The 12160-nt window shown below is 48.6% G+C and overlaps 1 protein-coding gene across 2 annotated transcripts in view, besides 2 other annotated features; it reads right to left on the reverse strand.

The window, feature by feature from the left end:
* RAB6B (RAB6B, member RAS oncogene family) overlaps positions 1-12160 on the reverse strand; it is a 71648-nt gene that overhangs the window by 28273 nt on the left and 31215 nt on the right. For both annotated transcript variants that reach the window (NM_016577.4, NM_001363953.1), the window contains one exon: positions 12077-12135. In NM_016577.4, the coding sequence (NP_057661.3) occupies positions 12077-12135 (59 nt within the window). The remainder of the gene's footprint in view (positions 1-12076; positions 12136-12160) is intronic.
* Positions 2367-2868: an enhancer, noted in NCBI's record as "NANOG hESC enhancer chr3:133573718-133574219 (GRCh37/hg19 assembly coordinates)". NCBI's record gives its function as "activates a minimal SCP1, AML or CMV promoter by ChIP-STARR-seq in primed H9 embryonic stem cells {active_cell/tissue: H9 hESC(primed)}" and the evidence as "EXISTENCE:reporter gene assay evidence [ECO:0000049][PMID:30033119]".
* Positions 4827-5441: an enhancer, noted in NCBI's record as "H3K27ac-H3K4me1 hESC enhancer chr3:133576178-133576792 (GRCh37/hg19 assembly coordinates)". NCBI's record gives its function as "activates a minimal SCP1, AML or CMV promoter by ChIP-STARR-seq in primed H9 embryonic stem cells {active_cell/tissue: H9 hESC(primed)}" and the evidence as "EXISTENCE:reporter gene assay evidence [ECO:0000049][PMID:30033119]".

A 12160-nucleotide genomic window follows, 5' to 3' on the forward strand; every position in this document is an offset into this window, starting at 1 on the left:
TTGCCCAGGCTGGAGTGCAGTGGCATGAACACAGATCCCTGTAGCCTCGACCTCCTTGGCACAAGCAATTCTCCTGCCTCAGCCTCCCAAGTAGTTGGAACTACAGGAGTGTGCCACCACGCCCAGCTAATTAAAAAAACAATTTTCTTTTGTAGAGATGGGGATCTCACCATGTTGCCCAGGCTGGTCTCGAACTCCAGGGCACAAGTGATCCTTCCGCTTCAGCCTCCCAAAGAGCTGGGATTACAGGCGTGAGTCACCATGCCTGGCAAATCCTTGATTCTAAACCTGACCACTCTCCCTGCCTTACTGCGTGACCTTGTTCAAGTGTTAGCAATATCTGGCTCAAAATGCAAGCCTGGGAGCATTTTGCCACTAGTATGTGGGAGCCATGCATGGTATTTCCTTTCCCTCCAGCCACCAGGAAACTCAAAGGTAAATGCTGAGCTCCATGCAGTATTTCTGCTATAGCTATCTCCCCTACCCTCTTTTCCTTTCCGATGCTAGTTTTTCCTCCTCTGCATCTGTAGTACAGTCATATCTGTGGCTCCTACTTTGGAGGGATATGGGGACATCAGACAAAAAGAACAACTAGCCACCCAGGTAGGCCATATCCTCCTGAAAAAGGCCCCAGCAACCTTGGTGATTTCCTGTGACCTGCCACAGGGTACATTTCATCTCAAAGGTCACCACAGGCCACAGTGTGTACTGATGGGAAGGTGGGTATGAGTGTGTGTGAGCAGACACGTGGATGAGTGGGGATACACATGTGTATGTAATTATGTATTTATTTGCATGTAGAAGTATGTGTATGTGGGTATGAGAGTGTGGGGGTAGGGAGGGAGTCATTTCTTCTTTGAAGATAAAGCCCAGATCCATGATATGCACATAGCCCAGCAATGCCAGGCAGCTGAGGTGAAGAGGACGCTCCACAGGCCCTTGGGATGGGGAGCATATGTCTGCCGGCAAATCTAGAATGCCTGTCAATGCTCCCCAGGACAGACCATAGCCAGCCCCACAGGAGCTACCATGCACCCTGCCCCAGGGGAATGGCCATGCAGCTGGCAGAGTGCCCCACTCAAACATACTTGGATGGGGTAATATGCCAAGGGAGCCCCAGTCTGTTTTTGGTGACCTCTGTCAGTGTTGGCAAGGTCTGAGTGCTCTGCCAACACCAACACTGGATTGGGAGTGTCCTGGAAAAATGGCTTAGCTTCCCTGGCCCTTGGCTTCCTCATCTCTAATACATGAAAAGTCACAGCTTCCTTTAAGGACTGTTGGATCAAATGAGTTAGAGAAAGTGAAGATAATGCATACTCTGTGATATGCTGCGTAAACAAAGATTATGAATTGTTATTAGTGACCGACTGACCTAGAGGTTTAAGAGAAGCTGTAGAACCCACCCCATGGAGACTCTCCAGCAATGTTTCTCAGTGTGGTTATGTGAAACACAGCCCCATGAGACCATCTTTGGAACAAAAGTAAATGGTGATCAAGTATTTCTGGGAAAGGCTACATATTCTAGCCCTGAGTAGATAGCCTCTTTAGTAAAGCCTCTCATAAGGCACACTGGCAAATAAAAGGCTCTGATGAGTTCTGCACTGAAGAAACACGAACCCAATGTTTCCCCAGCTTCTTTGCCCTAGGAACCTTTGTGGTTGCAATCCCTACAAACATCTCAATAACCGAGTATTCCCAGAGCCTCATGAAAGGCTGACCTTCAGAGAGACGGGTTCTAAAGGAGACTACTTCCCTCTTCTAGCTTGCCATGGAGTCTTGGTCAAAGCATTCTTTCTCTGAACTTCATTTTCTCTTGTGAGGTACAAAGCAAATTATTTTTGCTGGTAACTATTTTACAGGGATGTAAACGCAGGATATCAACACAGCATGAGCAGCAGGTCTGACCTTGGGGAGTTTCCTGCCAGCCAGTCCACGATCCCTATGACCCTCCTCTCCCTCCTCGGCTGTGCTGGGCACACCTCCTGCACTGCACCATGTCCTCTCAGAAGGCTGAGCTGCACTCTGCTGGGATGAGATTGCTCCAAACCTGGCAATGCTTATTTATTCCTTTAATATCTTTGTGCTTACAAACAGCACTGTATATGAGAAATGGCAGGCCCTTCATTTTATACAAAATGTGAGGAATCTTATGAGCATGGATTTCATAGCTGAATCCACATTTATCTTCTTCTGAACATGGTATTAAACAGTATCTACAGGGGTTCAGACATACAGTGCAGAATGACAGTACATTACATGCTTCCTTCTGCACAGAAGCTTCCATTGGCCCAGCTGATCCCGGAGGAAAGAGACGTTTCCTGAGGCACTTGTTGAAGTCTTCTTTGCTATGTGCATTTATTATGAAATACAATTTTGTTTCCACATTCTGACAAGACACAGTAATAAAGTCTGCAATGGAAATCTGCATGGTAATTTGCATAAATTGACTCAAGATTCTCTTCTCAGGAAAAGAAATAATGAAAAGGCATGTTACGTGCGTCTTCTTTTAGCCTTGGCCAGGCCTGGGCCCAGGGCTGGGGAAGCATCCATAAGTGGCAGAAAGCAGCTGGGCATGACAAGCCTTTGACAATGAAGTTGCTGTTTGTGCTCTGCACCACTAACCATTAAATGAAAGTATCAGGGTAAAGTCATGTAAATTAGCTTGCAAATGAGCCTGCTGAAACTTCAGGTTCCAGACTGGCAAGTGGGTGCTTTGGAGAGATGAGACAGCAGTCTCTGGCAAATAGGCTGGGCATATCCTTGCCAGAAGCGCAGTAATGCGCCCTGGGGGAGGGGATGTTGGCTCAGAAGGCCACAGTACGGGTACTTGCATTCTTCCAGATACCTCAGTTTCAAAGTCTGTATGGTCCTGGAGGCCACTTTTCTCCCAATGGAGAGTGGCTTGTACTTTAGTCACCACCCAATTTAAATATGTGATTGCTCTTTTATTTCCTGACTGTGGTCTGAAAACAACATACACCTTCAAATTTTAAATAAGGTTAAATTTCATCAATATCAGTGGGTCCCTTCAAAAGCTACCCATAATGTGCAAGGTCGTGTGGCCTGAAGCTCCCTGAGAGGCCTCCCAAAGGGTGACAAATGGATTCATGTGTGCCAGCCCTCCCCTCAACTCTTATAGCAAAAGATACTCCAGGTGTCGGACTTTTGAGGGCATCTAAGAACTTACTTATGGTAACCTACAAAATGAATTAGGAGAGATTACTAAAGCCTGGAGCAGAGAACTGCATCCTGAGTCCATTCCACTTATTAAATGTATCAGGAGCTACTGGTGGGCCCACCCAGCACCCATTGGCAACCTCCTACTCCCTTGCTTGACTACTTTAGACTGTAAAAGCTAAATTTGGCTTTCCCAGCCTCTCTAGAGGCTAACGGTAATGGTGTGACTCAATTCTGGCCAATAAGACACAGGAAGCAGTCTGCTGGAGCGGGGAGGAACTCCAGGGAAGCTCTTGCTTTTTCTGCCTTGAATGTGGATGTGATGTCTGGAGCAGCAACAGCCAGCACGCACGAAGATGAGAACCCACAGGCCACGACGGCAGAATGGAAAAAGCAATAGTCCAGGGGCCTGATGGTAGCACCACTCAGTGTGCCAACCACATGACTTCTTGCACCTACAAAATTAAAACTCTCCTTCATTTATGCCACTGTTCATCAGCTTTCTGTACTAGGAGGGGACTACATTTCTAATTTGCATGTGCTGACAAAGAAGTGGACGGGAGGACATAGGAGAGGAGGGAGAGAAAGAAAGGATGTTAGAGCCTGGGCAGTGTGGTTGGCACACTGAGTGGTGGTACACCAGGCCCCTGGACTATTGCTTATTCTGTTCTGCTGTCGTGGCCCATGGGTTCTCATCTTTGTACAGACTGTCTGTTGCTGCTCCAGACATCACATCCACATTCAAGGCAGAAAAAGCAAGCAAGAGCTTCCCTGGAATCCTTCCCCCCAAGCAGACTGCTGCTTGTGTCTTATTGGCCAGAATTGAGTCATATCATTACTCTTAGCCTCTAGAGAGGCTGGGAAAGCCAAATTTAGCTTTTACAGTCTCTAATCAAGCGAGGGAGTAGGAGGTTGCCAATGGGTACTGGGTGAGCCCACCAGTAGCTCCTGATACATTTAATGAGTGGAATGGACTCAGGATGCAGTTCTCTGCTCCAGGCTTTAGTAATCTTTCCTAATTCATTTTGTAGTTACCATAAGTAAGTTCTTAGATGCCCTCAAAAGTCCAACGCCTGGAGTATCTTCTGCCGGGTCAATGTTCAGAGGGAACACCTGGATGACTTGCAGTGCCCCAGTGGGTCTCTGAGGCAGGGTCATCTTGCCAGAGTGATTGGCATTCAGATTTCACGACATAAGAGTGTCACCTCATATTGTGACCCCAGAACATAATGTCTGCAAAAAATGAAACTCTACTCTATTAATATAAAAAATATCCTCATGTTGCTAGAGTTAACCGAGGACTGCAGTCCAGTGCTCTGCCCGAAGTCTATGGGGTTGAGCATCATTTGGCAGAGCTGCAAAGCACAGCACAAGTGCACATGCAGGGATGGTCGGGACACTGTGGAAAGTTGTCATTTGTTTCACTTTATCACTATTATCTTGGTTTGTTGCAGGGTTTCTGTACAGTAATGCACATTTCTATCAACAGTGGTTTTGGCCCATAATTTTCCATCACCTCGACTTTAATACCTATATGAGCCATAGTTCAAATACAAATTAATTACATTCCTACTTCCAAAGTTTAAGGCCACTGGTTTAGGTGATAGACGGGCTAAATTCCATCTGAATAATTTCCAGCTTAAAAAAAAGAGTAATACTAAGAAACTAAAAAGCTCGGCCAGGGTCTCCCAGCGAAGTGGGACTTGAACCTGGGGCTTAAACCTAGGCCTCTTTTTGAAGGGAAAAAAAAAAAAAAAAAAAAAAGGACTGAGGCATAGGGGACATTCTGAATCCTCCTTGGCGTGTGCCCTCACTCTGACCACCTCTACCAGGGCAGAAGATCCTGTCCCATCTCCCCCAGGTGCTGGGGACGTGCGGCATTTTAGATTCTGTGGGTAAAAGATCCCTTCTGGCACTCTGCCTCCGTTCTACATTCCATTAGAGAAAACGCACCCATTTTTAGGGCTTTAGGAATCTAGATTTGCCCAGTCTCTCACAGGCTGGCCTGATAGAACAGCCATTTGCAAGCATTTTGGCTGTTTGATCATTACCTCCCACTGGACTCTTCCTTTTTCTTTGTATTGATGGCACTGATATTCTTCCAGCATTTCTAGACAGAAACCTGGGGCGCATTCAGGCCTCTTCCTCTTCTCTATGTAACCCACAGACACACTGTTCGTTGGCCCCTTCCACTTCCTGTGCCATCTCTCCTAGGGCCCTCGCTCACCTCCCACACAGCCCTGCATGGTTCCTCCCTTGCCCCTGCCCTCCTTGCCCTTCCACACACAGCTGTATCTGAGTCTGTGTGCCCCGCCTCAGCTGCCACCCCTGGTCCCGGCCCAGCCCCTCCAGGCCTGCCTCCCACAAACTCCTTATCTTTGATCCCATCAGTGTCTGGGTCAGGAACCCTCCATGGCGCACCCTTCCTACCCAGGGATCCCAACCCGCCCTCGGGCCTTCCACAGTCCCAGTCACTGGGGCCAACTCACCCACCAGGCACGAGGGGCACAGAGCCCAGTGCCCGTAAGACACTTAAGGGCCAAGGAAAATGTTTCCATTTTAATTTCTCTTAAAATCAGGAGAAGAAATGACTATAATTATAATGAATCCAGCCTGAATTACATTCATCTCTATACCAATGTAGCTGTAAAAATATAATTCTTAACATGTTTTTAAAGGAAGAGACCTGTATTTGTTTCCTAGGCCTGCCATAACAAAGTACCACAGACTGGATGGCTTCAACTACAGTCATCTCCTCACAGCTCTGGAGGCTGGAGTCTGAGACTGAGGTGTAGGCACAATTGGCTTCTTGAGAGGCCCTCCCTGGCTTACAGATGGCTGTCCCTTCCTGTGTCCTCACATTGTCTTTCTCTGTGAATGTCAATGTCCTCATCTCCTCTTCTTATAAGGACACCAGTCATATTGAACTAGGGCCACCCTAATAATCTCATTTTACTTCTGTAGAGACCCTATCTTTATCTACAGTCCCATGCTGCGATACTTGGGACCAGAACTTCGATGCAGGAATTTTGAGGAGACACAATTCAGCCCATGTTAGGGCCCATGAAGCGAAATGCCTGAGGCCCATGAAAGTCAAAATGCAGCCCTGCCAACAGCCCACTCACAGGCCCCACTACTGCCCTCCACTCCAACATGCCGAGCTTTTCAGCGTCTTAGTACTGCATTTTTTTAACCTGGAAATTAATCAGATGGAATTTAACCCCTGTATCATCTAGACCAGTGGCCTACTTTAGAGGTAGGAATGTAGCAAATATGTATGTATGTATGTATTTATTAATTGACTGACTGATTGAAATAGGGTCTTGCTCTGTGACCCAGGCTGGAGTGCAGTGGCATGATCATGGCTCACTGCAGCCTTGACCTCACAGGCTCAAGCAATCCTCCCATCTCAGCCTCCTGAGTAGCTGGGACCACAGGCTCATGCCACTATATACAACTAATTTTTAAAAAATTTATAATAACAGGGTTTCGTTATCTTGACCAGACTGGTCTTGAATTCCTGGCCTCAAGCAATCCTCTGGCCTTGGCCTCCCGAAGTGCTGGGATTACAGGTGTGAACCCCCACCCTCAGCTGTAAATTTATATTTAAACCGTAGCTCATGTAGGTCTTAAAGTCTAGATGATGGAAAATTACACCAAGAAAAAAGTGCTCAGTAACCTCAGAATCTTGCCGGAAGTCCTACAGGTGTCTCTTTTCACGCCCCTTTTCTATTCCTGGGTTGGGGGTGGGTGTCAGGGTCCAGTGTCCATGAGTGTGTGAGTGTGTCCACGGGGAACCTTCTGGCTTGATCCCCACTCAGGTCTGTTTTCATCATTGGGTCCTACCTCACCTACACCAGCAAAGGCAGTGCGAGGGCTTTTTAGGCCCGAGTCTCTGTTTGTTAAGGTCATGCTGCCAAGGCTGGCAACCCCCTGGGCCACCTGAGAATGTGCTGACCTGGAAAGAGATAGCAGAGAACCAAATACCATGTTGAATAAAGCATAGCCTTCCATGCACAGTGACCTCTCCTGTTTGTCCCCTCCCTAAGCAGCTGGGATGTGCTGTGTGTGGAGCTCAGCTCCTCTCAGAAGGGCAAGATCACTGGGGAGGGGCAGGTGCTGATTTATGGGCTGAGCAGCCAGATAAGTGGCCTGCAGACACAATGGCCAGGCCCCAGGAAACACTCATATTTATTTCATTAAATCAACGTACAAAATGTTACACAAAGAAATGATCTGGAGACACCTTGTGAGAATAAAAAGACATGTGGCCAAGAAAGGATCCCGGGGGAAATGGCCTCACCAGGTCGAGATGCTGGGCAGGAGGCACGTGAAGGGCCGGAGGGGCTCGGAGCCTGCAGGGGCTATGCTGGGGGGTGCGGAGGTGCCCAAGCTGAGGAATAGGCCAGAAGGTCCAGTCCCCATTGGGATCAGACTGGGAGGTACTAGGATTTTGGAGAGAGTTGAAGGGTATCCATCCCCAAATTCATGCCCACTTGGAACTTCAGAATATGAGCTTATTTGAAAATTGCAGTTTTGGACATACGATTAATTAAGGATCTTGAGAGAAAAAATCATCCAGAATTTAGGGTGGGTCCTTAAATCCAGTGACTGGTGTCCTCTTAAGAAGAGGTGAGGACACAGAGAGACAGGAGGCCTGCTGAAGACAGAGGCGGAGAGTGGAGTGATACAGCCACTAGCCGAGGAAGGCCCGGAGGCACTGGAAGCTGGGGGGATTCTCTCCCAGAGCCTTCTGAGAACAAGGCCCTCCATGCCTTGATTTTGGACTTCAACCTCCAGAACAGTAAGAAAATAAACTTCTGTTGTTTTAAGGCACTCTGCGGCAATTTGTTAAGGCAGCCCCAGGAGAAGAGAGAGGAAAGCCTCAGGGCGGAGCGGCAGGAATGCAGTGAGGATCACCTGCAAGGCCAGAGCATCTCAGGCAACCCCTTGGCCTGGGAGGGCAAGGAGGCAGCCACTCTGTTCCCAGGCTCTGTGGGACCCAGGAAAGGATCCAGCGCAGGCAGAGCTTCACAGGCCTCCAGAAATGCTCCTCCACTCTGAGAGTGTGTCCTCCTGAGAGCAGCTGGATGAGCTCTGGCAGGCCAGGGACCTGCTCCCAGGGACAGCCCGTTAAGTCAGTGGTTTCCTAATTTGTGCCATGGTGTGAGGCCCAGGGACAAGCCAGTGGCTCTAAGTGCATCACAATCACTGCTGAGGCTTTAAGCATGCTAATACCCGAGCCCGTGAATCTCGCAAAAGGTGATGCTAACAGGCAGCCAGGAGTGATAGAGGGCCCATGAGAGACCGGAGAAGAGTGCTGCTACCACCAAATCCTCCCCCTCCATCCCCAGCAGCACCTGCAGAGGCTGAACCCTTCCATGGTGGCATGAGTACAGGTTTCACACAGGCGGCTCACAGACCAGGCCTGCAGAAGGGGAAGGGGGCTGGCCCCAAAGACAGCCAAGTCTCATCACAATGCACATACTGGAAGGTTTTTTTCTATCATAAATTTTGAAAATTACTTAGTTGGGGTTTTATATGAGAGAACCACTGCAGACATGAATCTCATCTGGCTGTGACTCTTGTTTTTTTACTTCTTCAAGTGAGTGGATTTAGATGAGGTGATGGGCAGGGTGTTGAGAGGCCAGAGAGTACATGTGTCATGAGAACACATGTGTGTATGTGTGTTTGGGGGTGAGGAGGTAAGTGTGAGGCAAGAGGAGGTAGAAGACCTGCTCCCCTGAGGCATCTCACGGGGCCTACCAGGTGGACAAAAAGTCTTGAGAGGTCTGTAGAACCCAGCTCCACACACCCAGGTCCTCATGCCAGCCCCTCAGGGTCTCCTGCATGTTCAGTTTTAGACCGAGAAAGAACTCACCAGCTGTCACTGAGGATAGGGTTAAACGCCCCCTCCCTGTCCTTCATGCCCTGGCTGAAGGCAGGGCCAGATTCTGTGGCCAGGCCACTTTCTTCTGCCTCTCCAAACATAGAGTAGGCATTTGACAAACATCTTTTGTCAGAATGAGTGAACGAGAGGGGAGTAGTGGGGCCAGAGACAGAAAGTGTGGGATGGAAAGAGGGAAGGAGGGGTAGATTCCATTCTAGGAACTGTCTGGGCACCTCAGCCAATCAAGGCAAGACAGCTCTGCCAGGTTGTACTGCTGGAAGGATGTCTGAAGGGGTGGTGGGGAGTGATTGCTGTGCAGGGGCACAACTTGGGGTGAGGTAAGCTGAATCCCCAAAGACCCTGGGGATCTTGTCTACTTCTCGAATGCCTCTGCCACCATGTTAGGAAAAACAAACAAAATAACATTTCCCCTTCTCCATCTCCAGAGAATTCATTAAAATGAGCCTCTGTATACACAGAATTGGAGCCCTGGTCTCCCAGCCTAATTACCATTTTTAAGAGCACTGGGAAAGGAATTCCACCTGCTGCAATATTGAAAAAAAAAAAAAGAGAAAGCCTGCGATGGGGAGGGCAGTCCTCTCTGAGGTTTCTCTCCTCTTGTCACCACACTGGGTCCTTGAGGCCTCTTGATCTGATGGGTCTAAAACCCGAGGCCAACTCTCCATGCTGTTTTTTTTGTGTGTGTGCCAGCAGGCACTGGTGATACCAACTATGGTCAGGCCCTGTGCTAGACTCATGAATGCAGTGGTGGGTCCCAGAGGGTCCTGGCCTCAGCCAAGCACAGAGCCCAGCTCAGAGCCAGATGCACACAGGAGCTACTGCACAGTTGAGAGGCTAAACCAGCCCTGAGGATGATGCTATAGGAAAGATGGTCACGGAGGGGACAGAGGATGAAAGGGCCTCGCTGCTCAGACCAAACATGTGCTCTGGGCCTTGATGCATCCAGAGAATTCTCGCAGCAGAGAAGAGAGGAAAGGGCATTCCGGCAGAGGCAATGACATGAGTCAAAGTGTGGAGGCATAACAGTGTCACTCCAAGGGCAGTAGGAGCAGGGAAGTCGGCTGGACCACAGGATGGGGGACAAGCAGTAGGCAATGGGAGACGACGCTGAACATGGAGGTAGGGCGAGATTTTGAGGAACTTGAATGACATGGGGAGGAGATGAGGCTTTGATCCATACTAATGGGACCCACTGCACAGGCCTGGGGGCCCCCTTTGTCACCCCCTTGCCACTGCCAAGAACACCAACCAACCAAGAGTCTCACTGTTTTCAATGGGACACTAACAAGAAGCATTATATGTAACTTAATAGTAAGAAATCAAAATAATATATGAGATCATTCATACACACACATGCATGCACAAAAATAAATGAATACCAAGTCAGACTTCAGAACTAAGTCTGTTGCAGCTGTCATCTTGAATTCAAACCGATCCAGTAGAACTCCCCTCATTAGGAGGACAGGCTTGGTGCTACAAAGCCCTGGCCCAGAGAGGATACAACAAAGACAAAGTGTGACCAAGGTGAACATCCCACAGTCCACACCTGAGGCTGTGCACATCAGCCAGGGCCCCTCTCCCAGAGCCTCTGTCAATTCCTATGGTCAGTTTCACCAAGTCCACTGGCTAGCCAGTATTTCAGACCATAGCAGAGTAGAAGCAGAGGTAAAGTAAAAATTGAGACCACAGCAAAGAAAGAGTAAAAATGAGAGAGAGGCAGACAGAGGGGCTGTATTTAAGGCAAGGAGGATAATTGGTCCAGAGGGAGACAGACAGACTAAAAAGTAGATACAGAGCTGCAGTCTGCAGTGAGCTGTGCTCCACATACTCTGTAAATCCAGAAAGGAGGAGGGACGTCTTAGAACAGCAGTCCCCGCTGTGTTCTATAAATATTTGTCCTTTGAGAACTCGATAACCAAGGGATTCCATGATCAAATACATCTGAGAGATCCTACACACTATATCCCTCTTTCAGTAAATCAAAACTATACACTGATATAGTCAGGCTCCGAGAAGCCCTGCAGCACAGCAGTAGATTTACTTTTGTTCACCCAGTGTTCCCTAAATCTGTACAAGCTCTGAACCCACCACCCCCTACCTCAACTTTTTTTCAAGTAACACCTACCAACACCTCTTGGAATTAGTATCTCACAGAATCCACTAGTGTAGAAAAATGCATTATCATTTGTCTCTATCTAAGGAATAAAACAGCACCTTTTTTCTTTAAAAGAGTTGAAATGATTAAGTTTGGTGCCTTTTGCAAAAAGCTATAATTGCATGGAAAATTCACTTTACTTGCACAAACCTCCCTACTCACCAGTGGTGCCAGGAAAGTGACATGTTATTAACCCCCAAGAACTTGGCCTTCAGGGCACCTGGAACCACCTCTGGGCCTCTGGTTGACCCCAGACTACGCCTCCAGGGCCAGGAGCTGCAGAGGTCACCGCATCCAGCCTCCTGCCCATGTAGGGCAGGGCAAGCTCATCGCACCAGCCTCTCCAGGGAAGGAAGTGCCTCAGCAACCGTGTGTGTGTGTGTGCGCGCGTGTGTGTGTTTGTGTGCGTGTGTGGGGGGGGGCGGGGGTGAGAGAGAGAGAAGGTCCCAGCAAACATAACCATTACAACCATGCATGAGGCGCAAGTTCGCCTAACACTCTCATTTTCATCTTGTTCCTCTTCCACATGATGACTCCCCTGAACAACCAAACACTATCATGGTTTGGATCTGCCTGTGAGGAACAAGAGAACACAGACTCTCTCTATTTTTAGAATTTTCCTCTGAAAAATGTTCCCTTTACCGAGGGGTGGATTTTCAGAAGGGCTCAAGCTCTTTACAGGGATGGGGCCAGTATAGAGGTGGGAAGCTCCTCCATAGCAAAATGACAGCCTGGGAACCCAGGGCCATTCCACTCCCACCCCAGCTCAGCAAGTTTCAAAGAGAGGTCAGCCACTGCCAGATGATATGGAGGGTGAGCACCCAGGACCTCACCTGGTATGTGTTGTCGAAGCTGTCGTACATGAACCTCGTAATCAGAGACGTCTTCCCGACTGCAAAACAACAAGGAGAGAGGTG

The sequence above is a fragment of the Homo sapiens genome, chromosome 3 (genome assembly GCF_000001405.40).
Source record: "Homo sapiens chromosome 3, GRCh38.p14 Primary Assembly".
Taxonomy (NCBI): domain Eukaryota; kingdom Metazoa; phylum Chordata; class Mammalia; order Primates; family Hominidae; genus Homo; species Homo sapiens.